Genomic DNA, 12,849 nt, shown 5'->3' on the forward strand with positions numbered 1-12,849 from the left:
CTTTATTGCTGCTGTTATGTTGTCCAATTTCAAAGGCAGAAAATTAGAAAATACAGAAGAATCCAAAGCAAATAATACAAATCTTTTTTTTTTTTTTTTTTTGAGGTGGAGTTTTGCTCTTGTTGCCCAGGCTGGAGTGCAGTGACACAATCTCGGCTCACTGCAACCTCTGCCTCCTGGGTTCAAATGATTCTCCTGCCTCAGCCTCCCGAGTAGCTGGGATTACCGGCACCTGCCACCACCCAGCTAATTTTTTGTATTTTTAGTAGAGATGGGGTTTCACCATGTTGACCAGGCTGATCTTGAACTCCTGACCTCAAGTGATCCACCCGCCTTGGCCTCCCAAAGTGCTGGAATTACAGGTGTGAGCCACCGCGCCCGGCCCCATTATACAAATCTTTAGTGCTTGGAGAGCTGACCACTATTAACCCCAAGAGACAGGATTCCTGAGGCAGACCTGGCTTACAGATCCCACTCTGCCGCCTCCAAGCTCTGTGACTCTAGACAGCTTTCTTAACCTCTCTGAGCCTAAACTCTGCTCACTAGTACAGAGGCACTCTTTACATCATGTGGGTGTTTTCTATAGCACCCTTTGTAAGGGGCAGCCCAGACTCCTTTAAGCCCCTAATGGATGTGGATGCTGTGTCTAGATTTTCACCATTGCAAAGAACCTTGCTAAAAGCATTCTTCCAGCTAAAGCCTCCATTCAATTCCCCTGGGGTAGTAAGCCATTTGCAAGAAGAGAGGCGCCTAATGAAAACATCACAAATTCTTTTTGATGTGTTTTTTTATACTGAGTTGTGGAACAGGGTCCTGTACACCTGGCTTCAAGGCTGGGAGGCCTGGCTTGGACATGTGGTCAGCCATATCACGTCGTCCCCCTGCCAGCCTCAGTGTCCACATCTACAACACTTGGGGTTTGGCTGGAGAGAACATGAGAAGCCGAGGTGGCCCTTCCTTCTGGGTCTAGCAGAGCATGGGTGTCTCCAGTGTGGCATTTGCTCCTGGGGCTTCTTTATCGGGCAAGGGGACAAGGTCTGGCTTCCCGGAGCATCCCTGTTCCAGCCCCGTGTTGTGCCGGCCATGTGACTCACAGCTCCTCTCATTTTCATGAGTGTCTGGGTTTGACGAGAAATACATGTGCCACCCTGGTGATACGCCTCCCCAGCGAGGGTGGCCGGGCTTATTTCAGTTGGGGGAAATGGCTTTGCTGAAGCTTTGGGTGGGTGACGTCTGCTTAGGATGCATGTCTGTGCCCTTGAACCCGGCGCCTGGCCTGGAGGCGGGCGATGCACCTCCTGCCTTACCTGCCTGCAGGGTTCCAGGTTTAACATCCTGCGCCTTCTCTCCTGCCTCCTCCACACTCCAGGCTGGACCTGTACCGAGCCTCGGGTAAATTTGAGCTTCTTGATAGAATTCTTCCCAAACTCCGAGCAACCAACCACAAAGTGCTGCTGTTCTGCCAAATGACCTCCCTCATGACCATCATGGAAGATTACTTTGCGTATCGCGGCTTTAAATACCTCAGGCTTGATGGTGAGTATGAGCCAGTGAGGCGTTTCTTACAGGGTTTTGTTGTTGTGGCTGCCACAGAAGCTCCTCACTGGCATTCCCTCCTGTGAGGCAGGGTGAGGCCCAGGCGCTCTGGGTCCAGTGGCCAGAGTGGGCCTAGCCACAGGCTGAGCATCTTGGGCACTCGGCACTGGGACAGGCCGTGGATTGGACGCCGGGTGTCCTGACTCCTAGGCTGACAGTCTTTCCACGACAATGCTGGGCGCACTGGGGAAGGGGTGCCCTGTGCACTTTTAGCTGGAAGTGACAGAATTCCATACCATGTGGACACAGGAAAGAAAGCACCAATAGGCTTACATAGCTCTAACCCCAGGAGGTTAAACATCCTTCAGGCACAGCTGGATCCAGGCATGCAGGTGATATTGGAGAGACTTTTCTCCAGCTCTTTGCTCTGCCTTCTTCCATCTTGGCTTCCTTTCCACCTGCTCAGTGTCCCCAACAAAGGCAGGTCCCAGGCTGGCTCTCATTTAGCTGCTGTGAGCCGCATGCCCATCCCTGGGCCATTCGTAGCAGCCCAGTGACTGCCACCTTGCCACAGGTCAGGCCTGGACCTGGAATCAGACTCTGTGGTGAGCACGGAGGGAGGGAAGCAAGCACTGCCAGGCAGGAGCAGCAGCTGCCGTAGAGAGGCTCTCAGCCCAACCCCCTGCCCTGCGGTCCCTGATGGGAAAGGTCACCGCCTGTGTTTCTGCGCCTGCCTGCCCCAGCACACGGGAGCTCAGGGAGGAGAGGCTGTGAGATGCCGACAGGGCACGTGAGACATGTCTGTCAGTCCCAGTGGGTCAGGGAGCCCTGGAGTGAGTTCTTCGTGGGAGTTACTAGAACTGGGCTTACGAGAAACACGAGCATGAGCTGCTGAGACAGACACGGCTCAGCCAGTTTGTTGTTCCCTACACGACCTCCCAGAGCCTTTGTTGAAGCTCCTGTGCAAGGTCTGTCTCACAGCAGGACACCCCAGACCTCCATACCCCTTGTCCCGTTGATCACTTGGACCTGTGTTTGCTGGGCCAACCTGCCCAGGTGCCACCCGGAGTGTGCCCTGTGTGTCCCTCCAAACTGCAGGTCCTCCCCGGGGTTCTGTCCAGGACCACTCTACAGACACGAGTCTGTTGCAGGGGTCTCCCCGGCTTGCCTTCTTCCTTGGGGGCTTCCCACTTTCAGCTTTGAGGCTGAAAACCAAAATCCTTCAGGGTCCTCATGGCCGGGCCACCCCCCACCCTTTCCTCTCCTACGGTCTCTCCAGCGGCTTCTCCCGTCCTCGAGAGGGCCAAGGCTTCCTGAGGGCCATCCCGTCTGTGTCGTGTCCCTGACTCCCCCAGGAGAGAGCCTGGTTCCCACCCATCCCAGTGCCCTTCTGCCTACTCCATAAGGACAAGGACTTTGGTCAGTTGAACTACAGATGTGTCCTCTGCATGTGATGTGGTCATGGCCACAGGGCCAGAGAATCCATTGCGAGTAGAGGAAGGGTAGGAGCTCAGTGAAGTCTCCTGAGACTGCATCTCCCATGGGTGGGCTGGCATCTGGGAGCCGGGTGGCCCCTCACCTCAGCCCCTCCTCCGAGCTGGAGTAGCAGGGGCACATCTGGTGCCTGAGAGAGGGTGGGACGGCAGGTGGATGGCCAGGCTACTGTGGGCTTCTGCACCGTGCCTGGGCATGTGTAGGCTGGTGGCAGGAAATGGCCAGTTTTTATTTCTTCTTTTTTTTGAGACGGAGTTTCACTCTTGTTGCCCAGGCTGGAGTGCAGTGGCATGATCTCAGCTCACTGCAACCTCCGCCGCCTGGATTCAAGCGATTCTCCTGCCTCATCCTCCCTGGTATCTGGGATTACAGGCGCCCGCCACTACGCCCAGCTAATTTTCTTGTATTTTTAGTAGAGACGGGGTTTCACCATGTTGGCCAGGCTGGTCTCGAACTCCTGTCCTCAGGCGATCCACCCACCTCAGCCTCCCAAAGTGTTGGGATTACAGGCATGAGTCACCGCGCCCGGCCTGCCAGTTTTTATTTCATCACCAAAATGACTTCAGTGTTCAGGGGCACCTCTGTCCGAACTCCCAGCAGCGCAGGGAGTGTTGACATTGCCTTAATGCCCACAACGCTGAGGGCATCGTGGGTTGTCACCCAGGAGACCTGCTCTGGCTCCTTGACTTGGGTTTTCTGGGGCATGGGGACACTGATCCTGCCAGAAAGGACACGAGCCCCCTTTATAAGGTCTCCATGCTTTTACCGTAGAAGATTCTCTTTGTGAACCACAAAACTTTTTGAGACAGGGCTGAAGGCAGGTGCACCCACAGTCACTGTCCACCCACCCCCAGGTCCCTTGTGTTGCGAGCGGCGGTGTTGCCGGCATTGGCCGCTGTGTCTTCCGCTCCCCATGGAATGGCACAGGGTAGAGTAGAGGAGAGAATCCAGGGCTGTGGTGGTGGTGGCTGTGCTGACGCTGGACGCTGTGGCCTAGCTGTGGGCTGGGTGCTGGACTCTGTGCTCCAGGCCCACCTCCTCTAGTTCTCCCAGCGGGGCCTGTTTTCATTTCTGGGATGTGTGGAGAGACGTTTTGTGGTGAAACACTGGAAATCCAGTTATTCGCCAGTGGCCCACAGGCCCGTGTGGAGAGTGCGGAGCCAGGGATCTGGGGATGCTGGCAGGTGCTGATCCTGCTCCTGCTCTCAGAAGCAGGTGTTCCTTGGTGTCCCCACTCTACCCCTGAGGTCACCCCGCTGACCCTGTTCTCCTCTGTGCCCGTCAGGAACCACGAAGGCGGAGGACCGGGGCATGCTGCTGAAAACCTTCAACGAGCCCGGCTCTGAGTACTTCATCTTCCTGCTCAGCACCCGGGCTGGGGGGCTCGGCCTGAACCTCCAGTCGGCAGACACTGTGATCATTTTTGACAGCGACTGGAATCCTCACCAGGTAAAAGCGGGCCGGGCCCCAGGTCGAGGAGAAGGAAGGGGGTGCCTGCAAAACCTCGAGGAGACGGCCCTGGCTTGAGGGTCCTCCAGCCTCCTCCACATTGTCTTGGACCCCAGGAGCCGGGAGGAGCTGCACCCATATCTCCATAGGTCATCAGGGAGAAAAGAGGCGGGGTCCTCCTGTTTCCCAAAATACAAACAGCCTTTCCCTCTGATTGGGAAAGCAGTGTATAAGCCATCCGTCGGTTTGGTTTTTCTTAAATCTTGGAATGGCACCCATGAGGAGGTGGAAAGTATCCTGATCAATCTGCGCCGTCACTGTGGGGCGGCCCCTGCAGTGTGCCCTGTGAGCACACACACTGGCGCTTGTTCAGACACAATTGGGGGTAAACTCCATGCCACTTCGTTTACTTCCTCCTCTTGTTCCATAACCATGTACCCCTCATGGGCCTCGGCATCGGTGGATACCAGGTCATGCTGTTACATAGCTACAAGAATTTGAAAATGAGTTAAACTTTTCTCTGTGTTTCATTATAAGACTGATAAGTTCTTATTGTTTTTAACATGTAAACACCAGTGACAGTCAGGAGTCCCTTTTCCCTTCCTCTCCAACCGTGCTCTCTTCTGAGCCTCTGCCAGCCCATCTGCCTTCGCACATGTATGTACTGAGATTAACACAGATGCGGCGTGGCCTAGCATGTGCCTCTTCCACCAAGCAGTGGGTGTCAACCGCCGAGTGCACATCGGAAGCTACCCAGCCATCTAATCGGCCACCAGGCGTCCCGGCAGATGGCCACCCCTGGACGTCTGCTCTCAAACTCTGGTTGGCAGGCATCCGTCTTTTCTGTTGATCAGCCTGGTCACCAACCCAGCAGGGTCCCTCTTTCTCTCAGAGTGCTTGTGCAAACACCCTAGGTCTGCGCAGCCCTCAGACATGGGGTCGCTCCACCCCAGACATTGTCCTCTTCGTGTTCTGGTTGCTACTGCCAAAGTGGTTTCACTCCTACGCTGGGGTGTGAATGTACCCTGCCCTTCCCTGCAGCGTGAGGGCAGCAGCGTTCTCAGTGTGTAAATTGTCGCTTGTCTGATGGGTGAATGCCGTGGTGGTCACTGGTGGCCCCTTTTACGATCAGGCTGGGGTGTAGCTTCTGCCCAGACCCTGGTGACCAGCCAGTTTCTTAGGAGGTGGTTGAGTTGTGTGTCCCCGTTGGCAGGCCGGCAGCAGGCGGAAGCTGCACCTCAGGGCTGGGGGCGCGTTGGGGAGGGCTGGCCCTGCCAGGAAGTGTGCTGACAGGGCAGGAGGGCTGAGCGGCAGACACAAGGCACTCCTGGTCCCCACCAGCTGTGGCCTCTGCCACCCCATGGGTGCCAGTCTTAAGTTTCAGAGCATCACTGGTACTCACCCTGGTCCTGCAGCTCCTGGGCCCAGAGACAGGATTTCGTGTTAGCCTCCTCGTACTGTGCTGGGGTGATGATAAAACTAACAACCCAGGCTGGACGCAGTGGCTCACACCCGAAATCCCAACATTTTGGGAGGCCGAGGTGGGTGGATCAACTGAGGTCAGGAGTTCGAGACCAGCCTGGCCAACATGGCGAAACCCTGTCTCTACTAAAAATACAAAAATTAGCCAGGCATGGTGGTGCATGCCTGTAGCCCCAGCTACTCAGGAAGCTGAGGCAGAAAAATCGCTTGAACTTCGGGAGGCAGAGGTTGCAGTGAGCTGAGATCGCACCACTGCACTCCAGCCTGGGCGACAGAGCGAGACTTTGTCTCAAAAAAAAAAAAAAAGAAAAAAAGCCCATCCACGGCACCTGCATTGTTGGGAGCTAACTGCACCAGTCACTGGGCCACACTCCTGGTGCTTATTCACTCATTCGAGGTATGCAGTAGCCACGGGTTGGGCCCCATGTAGGCTGAGGGAGTTTTGAGGCTCACAGAGGTGAGACCTGGTTCCGGTTCTGTGTGCACTGTGAGAGTGGCAGGGCCCACAGCCAAACCAAGCACTGCCACAACACGGCCGAGCTTCGGCCCCCTGTTGTAAATGGTGCTCGACTGTGTAGGTCCACGCTGTGGGGAGCTGTGCCGCTGCCACGGGAGCTGCTTGAGAATATAATCCCCTGGGGGGTTGGTGCTTTCTTCCCGAATATCTGTGGGGTCCCAATAAGGTAGAAGGTGGCACTTCTGGAGGAACGTGATGAGAGTCCCCTTCCCCCGAGGGACACATGGCGGCCCAGGCTCCACCAGCTCTGTTTTCATGCGGCGGCAGGTCAGGCTGGGCAGAATTGTCAGGCCGAGGGTGGCACGCACAGCACACCTCTCCAGCTAGTGTCAGAGGCCACCTTCCCTTTTATGACCTCCTGGGCTCCTTTGGGACTGACTGGCACCTCTTCCCCCAGGACCTGCAAGCGCAGGACCGAGCCCACCGCATCGGGCAGCAGAACGAGGTGCGTGTGCTCCGCCTCTGCACCGTCAACAGCGTGGAGGAGAAGATCCTAGCTGCAGCCAAGTACAAGCTCAACGTGGACCAGAAGGTGATCCAGGCCGGCATGTTCGACCAGAAGTCCTCCAGCCATGAGCGGCGCGCCTTCCTGCAGGCCATCCTGGAGCACGAGGAGCAGGATGAGGTGAGCCCAGCACCGGCCCCGACCCCTCCCCAGCGTGAATGGTGGACGCGTGAGCGGCTTTCATTTTTGTTTTTTTACCTTTTTTGCACTCTTATTTTTTTTGCATCCCTTTGGAGTAAAGGGAGTGTGGGCTGAACGGAAAGAGGATGAGTACTTGCTTTTTCTTTGAAGTGGTTTTTTTTTCTAAACTGCTGGTGAAAGACGCCGGATTGACAGCCCTGGAGACTGAAGTCCTCTATTTATCCACAGAGCAGACACTGCAGCACGGGCAGCGGCAGTGCCAGCTTCGCCCACACTGCCCCTCCGCCAGCGGGCGTCAACCCCGACTTGGAGGAGCCACCTCTAAAGGTGAGAGGGGTAGTTCAGTCTCCATGCCCATTCAATCCTCGGCTTCTCGGCTGAGACGGCCAGCAAGGGCCCTGGTCCCACGGAGCGTGCGTGTGCGTGTGCGTGTGTGTGCCTTTCGCTGCCGTGTGGGTCCCCATCCACCGCAGCCGTGCCGGGACCACCAGCTCATTCCCACGGACGCCGCCGCTCGCCTCTGAGCTCGGCCGCCGCCCACCCCGGCCCCTCCTCAGCGGCACTGACAGTTTGCAATCTTATAGGAGGAAGACGAGGTGCCCGACGACGAGACCGTCAACCAGATGATCGCCCGGCACGAGGAGGAGTTTGATCTGTTCATGGTAAGCGCTGCAGGCTGGATGGGGCAGTTCAGGCATCCCACTCTGCTGCCACCAGGAGCAAAGCAGACGTCCTAGTGCCCATGGTGGTATCCCTAGCAGGTCAGGGAGCCAGGGACAGCTCACAGTGCAGCCCACTCCCACCTCCAGACTGACCCGTCTTCCACCCCCAGTCTCCTGAGGATGGCATCGGAGGGCGAGATGCACACCCAGCCTTCTGCATGTGACCCGAGACCTGCCCCACCAGCTCTGTTTTCTAACGGGCTCTCCAGGGCTTCATGCACTCCCTTTCAGAGGGAGTTCGCCCTATCCAAGGCCAAGGGACTGACCAGGCCTTCAGTCGCAGAGCCCCCTTGCCCCTGGGTGGGAAACAGGAAATAAGCCACCCAAGCAGGGGCCCCTTGGCCCGCAGGCCTCATGCCTCCACCAACGCTGGGCCACGCAGCTGCTGCCCCCCTGCTGGGGTCTGCAGCCCTCTTGTGCAACCTTCCATCTTTTCGAGTTTCCTCTGCCTCCTGAGGCAGAGCCTCTAGTCAGGGTCTGACGGAGCCAGGCCAGGTCAGCCACTGAAAAATCGAGAGCTACTGTTTAACTCTCGCAGCAGCGTGGAGCCCCACGGGCAGAGAAAGGCCCTTCTGAACTCTCGGTGTTCTGGCTCTAGCGTGCCCCTGGTGCCTGCATGCTGATGCCTCTCCCGTTGCCTCCCTGCCCACCAGCGCATGGACCTGGACCGCAGGCGCGAGGAGGCCCGCAACCCCAAGCGGAAGCCGCGCCTCATGGAGGAGGACGAGCTCCCCTCGTGGATCATCAAGGACGACGCGGAGGTGGAGCGGCTGACCTGTGAGGAGGAGGAGGAGAAGATGTTCGGCCGTGGCTCCCGCCACCGCAAGGAGGTGGACTACAGCGACTCACTGACGGAGAAGCAGTGGCTCAAGGTACATGCTGGAGAGGCCCAGCAGCTGCCGCAGGCCAGCGCCAGGCAGGGCTGGGGAGACAAAGGGCCCACCGCCAGGACTCAGGCCTGGGTCCAAAATGCTTTCCTTGGGCCACTCCTGGCCAGGCTCCGCAGGCAGCCGAGAGCCTTCCGATGTGGGCCAGGGATGGTCAGGTCCTTTTGGCTCTGCCTTGGAATGCAAGAAGGACCCACGGTTCCTGAGCAGCTCAAAACCTGCTGCTGGTTATGGTTGGTCTTTCAAGTAAAAGGGTTTACCTCTTCCCGAGGTTAAAAATCATGTTGCTGATCTCAGTGGACTGCTGGCTTTCCCAGTACCTGCCAGGAGGGAGGCACAAGGGTGAATCATGGACTATTGAGGCGCCCTGCAAAGCGTTGCACTGCTGGCTGCAGGCAGCCTCACTTTGGGCAAGTCCCCCCCCATGAGCTGGGGAGACTCAGTCATGGGGAGGGAGGAGAGGGCAAGCCCCCAAGGGCCTCTGAACCTGGCAGGTGCTGCACGGGGCTGGCAGTTGCTTGTGGAGCTGACGTGAGGGCCCGTTCTCAGCAGATGGCAGCTGGCCCTGCAACAGCAGCTGCAGATGTCTTTGAGTCAGTCGTGCGGTGCTCCTGGGGCTTCACCCGACCCAACTTTCCCAGCCCAAGGCACACTGTGACAGATGCCTGGCACTGATGTCCTCACTGGGGTTACGGTGACAGATCAGACCCCTTCCCAGCTCAGGGGCTCTGAGTTATAGAGACGATGATTCAGAATCCATCCCTGAAGTTGTGTCATAAAAATGTCCTGAAGCAATAATTCCGAGAAGGCAGGTGGCAGCTTTTGGCTATGCCATGCAAAGTGCCACACCCAGGAAAGAGCCATGTGGCCTAGCCCATGTGGCCAAACAGCCCCGGTTCCCTCCTGGGACCTCAGCAGCCCAGACTCATGAGCTTGCCTGCCAAGCTGTGCACCAGAGGGCGCTGTTGAAACACACCAGGAGCCCAGGTGACAGACAGGCCATCCTGTTCCCCAGCCAGCCTCCCAAGCACAGCGCTCCAGGACCCAGAAGAGAAACCCTGAAAAGACAGTGTGAGCCCTGCCACAGACCTGTGTGACAGCAGAGCTGTTTGGCTGCTGTATGAGTGTCACCGGCCCTGCATTTTTTTCTTTTTTAATAAAGACAAAGTCTTGCTGTGTTACCCAGGCTGGCCTCCAGTTCCTGGGGGCTCAAGTGATCCTCACACCTCAGCCTCCTGAGTAGTTCAGACTACAGGTACACACCAACACGCCTGGCTAATTTTAAATTTTTTGTAAAGTGGGGGTCTCACTGTGTCACTCAGGCTGGTCTCAAACTCCTGGGCTCAAACAATCCACCCGCCTCGGCCTGCAGAGTAGCTGGGATTACGAGCATGAGCCACGGTGCCCAGCTCAGCCCTGCATATTTGAGGCAGTGAGTACCTTTTAAATTTAAGATCAGTTCATACGTGGCTGCTCTATGTACATTTTTTTCTAGGTGTAATTTACATACCATACAGTTCACCCTTTTGGGGTATATGATACAATCATCTTCAGTGTATCCAAGAGTTGTGCATCTCTCACCACAGTCCATTTTAGAACATTCTCATCGCCCCCAAAAGAAGCCCTGCCCCGATTTGCCATTCCTGGTAATTCATGGATTCTCCCCAGCCCCAGGCAACCACTGATGTACTTTCTGTCCATATAGTTTTACCTGTTCTGGGCGTTTCCTGTCAGTGGAGTCCTACAGCGTGGGATGCTTTGGTGTCAGGCTTTTTTCACGCAATGTAACATGCTGACCCATGATGCAGCAGGTGTGTTGCATTCTTTGATGGTGAAATAATCCTGCCTCGTACAGATTTGTCACATTCGGTTTTTCTGTCCATTCTTGATGGACACTTGGGTTGTATCCACTTTCGGGCTATTACAAACAATACTACCGTGAACATTCACGTACACGTTTTTGCGTGCACGCGTTTCTCTTTAATATGTGATTTCTCTTTAATATCTGATTTCTCTTTAATATGTGCCTAGGCGTAGAGTTGCCGGAACAATGTTAGTTCTCTATTTAACCTTTTGAGGGACCCCAGCCTGGTTTCCTTGGTGGCTACGCCAGTTCACAGTTCCACCAGCTGTGTATGAGAATTCCTCTTTCTCTACATCCTCAGCAACCCTTGCTGTTCCCTCGCCCGCTGATTCTAGCCATCCCAGCACGTATGAAGTGCCATCTGAGTGTGGTTGGATTTGCATTTCCCTGATGGCTAATGGTGTGGAGTATCTGTTCATATGCTTCTTGGCCCTTTGTGTATCCTCTAGAAAGAGATGTCTAGTCACATCATCCTTTACCCAAATTTAAAATATATTTATCTTAATATTGAATTGTAAGTTATTTACAAGTGCCTTATCAGATATCATTTGTAAATATTTTGTTCCATTCTGCACATTCTCTTTTCGCTTCCGTGATATCCGTTGAAGCACAGAAGTGTTTCATTGTACTTACAGTCGATTTTTCTTTTTCACCTGTGCCTTGGTGTTGTATCTGAGAAACCATCGCCTATCCAAGGTCACGAAGACTTGCCCCTGTCTTTTCTCCTAGGAGGGTTATAATTTGATCTCTTCCATGTAGATCCATGTAAGATCCATTTTGAGTTAAATTTTATACATGATGTGAGGTAGGGGTCCATCTTCATCCATCCAACTGGAAATCCAGTTGTCCCAGCAGCATTTGTTGAAGAGACTATTTTTTCCCATTGAGCCCATCTTATTACACAGTATATTCAAATTCACAGTTGTGAAAAATATTATACAAAACACTGTCTCCCCACTACTGTTGGCTGTGGAATTGGCACCACTTTTCTGGCAGCCATCTGTTGCCAAGTGAACTCAAAGCCTTCAAAATGCTCCTATGGCCGCCATCGGACATGGCCATGACTGTGGCAGCCTAAAGCAACAGAACTATTTTCTCTGCATTCTGGGCCAGAAGTCTGAACCCACGGTGTGGGCAGGGCTGTGTTCCTTTCGAGGCCCTAGGAGAGGACCCTTCCTTGGCTTTTCCAGCTTCTGATGGTTCCAGAAGCCTCCTGGCTTGGGGCAGCGTCACCCCATCTCTGCCTCTGTCTTCATGGGGACTTCTCCTCTGTGTCCCCTTCTGTGTCTTTTAAGAACAATTTTTAAAACTTAATCCCAAAAGTAAAGACCTCATTTGCAAAGAAGGTCCCATTCCGAGGTTCCAGGTAGACATGAGTCTGGGGGGCACCCGCCGCTCCGCCCTGGGTCTGCAGGGGGCCTTCTCCTGGTGCCTCCTGCCTGCTGTGCCCTCCATGCTGCTTCTTTGACCCGGTTGCCTTCCATCCTCCTGGGCCCCTCAGGCTCTCAGCTTCCCATCTTCTCTAAGACATGTCTGCTCCATCATTCTGGTGTCTCTCTCTTCCCTCCTTCCTGGCACCTGACACGTTTGTTACCCCACTTGTGGGGTGTTGCTGTCTGATCACCATCTTCCTTCCAAGGGTAGGGGAAAGGGCCCTGGCTGGTTCAAGTCACAGCTCTGTCCTCAGCGCCAGGCACAGTGCCCAGCTCACTGGCACAGCCTCAGATTCCCTGGACACCTGGCTCCCCGGCTGCATTTTTTACCATTGGGATAAGTTATTAGTACCATTGAAAATTAATACCTGGGGATTCTCTTAATATTGTTCATATTCATGTTCTTCTCAGCAGTTTTACCATGAGGAATCTGTCTTAAACAATGTCAGTTGTCAATAGCGTTATTTAAAATAGCAACAACAATAAAAAAAGGTGGTCAGACCTGGCAGCTTGTGCCTGTAATCCCAGCACTTGGAGAAGCCAAAGCGGGGGGATCATTTCAGCTCAGGAGTTTGAGACCAGTCTGGCCAAAATAGCAAGACCTTTGTCTCTATTAAAAAAAAAAATGCCAGGCACAGTGACACATGCCTGTAATCCCAAGCACTTTGGGAGGCCGAGGTGGGCAGATCACCTGAGGTCAGGAGCTCAAGACCAGCCTGGCCAACATGGCAAAAACCCGTTTCTACTAAAAATACAAAAATTAGCCAGGCATGGTGGTGGGCACCTGTCATCCCAGCTACTTGGGAGGCTGAGTCAGGA

At 54.8% G+C, this 12,849-nt stretch overlaps 1 protein-coding gene across 25 annotated transcripts in view, besides 2 other annotated features; it reads left to right on the top strand.

Moving 5' to 3' along the window:
* Window positions 1-12,849, top strand: part of SMARCA4 (SWI/SNF related BAF chromatin remodeling complex subunit ATPase 4) — a 101,244-nt gene that overhangs the window by 65,385 nt on the left and 23,010 nt on the right. For 16 of the 25 annotated variants that reach the window (NR_164683.1, XM_047439249.1, XM_047439247.1 and 13 more), the window contains 5 exons: window positions 1,370-1,536; window positions 4,316-4,479; window positions 6,876-7,103; window positions 7,709-7,786; window positions 8,500-8,718. Coding sequence is in view for 24 of the 25 variants with exons in the window: in XM_047439249.1 (XP_047295205.1) it covers window positions 1,370-1,536; window positions 4,316-4,479; window positions 6,876-7,103; window positions 7,709-7,786; window positions 8,500-8,718 (856 nt within the window). In the remaining variant the exon portion in view is untranslated. Of the gene's footprint in view, window positions 1-1,369; window positions 1,537-4,315; window positions 4,480-6,875; window positions 7,104-7,352; window positions 7,452-7,708; window positions 7,787-8,499; window positions 8,719-12,849 lie in introns of all 25 variants that reach the window. The other 9 variants (XM_011528198.2, NM_001128844.3, XM_024451658.2 and 6 more) reach the window with 1 other exon arrangement.
* Window positions 1,730-2,230: an enhancer, noted in NCBI's record as "H3K4me1 hESC enhancer chr19:11138820-11139320 (GRCh37/hg19 assembly coordinates)". NCBI's record gives its function as "activates a minimal SCP1, AML or CMV promoter by ChIP-STARR-seq in naive H9 embryonic stem cells {active_cell/tissue: H9 hESC(naive)}" and the evidence as "EXISTENCE:reporter gene assay evidence [ECO:0000049][PMID:30033119]".
* Window positions 9,811-9,970: an enhancer, noted in NCBI's record as "active region_14002". NCBI's record gives its function as "activates an Ori minimal core promoter by ATAC-STARR-seq in GM12878 lymphoblastoid cells {active_cell/tissue: GM12878}" and the evidence as "EXISTENCE:reporter gene assay evidence [ECO:0000049][PMID:35858748]".

Source organism: Homo sapiens, chromosome 19, assembly GCF_000001405.40.
Source record: "Homo sapiens chromosome 19, GRCh38.p14 Primary Assembly".
Taxonomy (NCBI): Eukaryota; Metazoa; Chordata; class Mammalia; order Primates; family Hominidae; genus Homo; species Homo sapiens.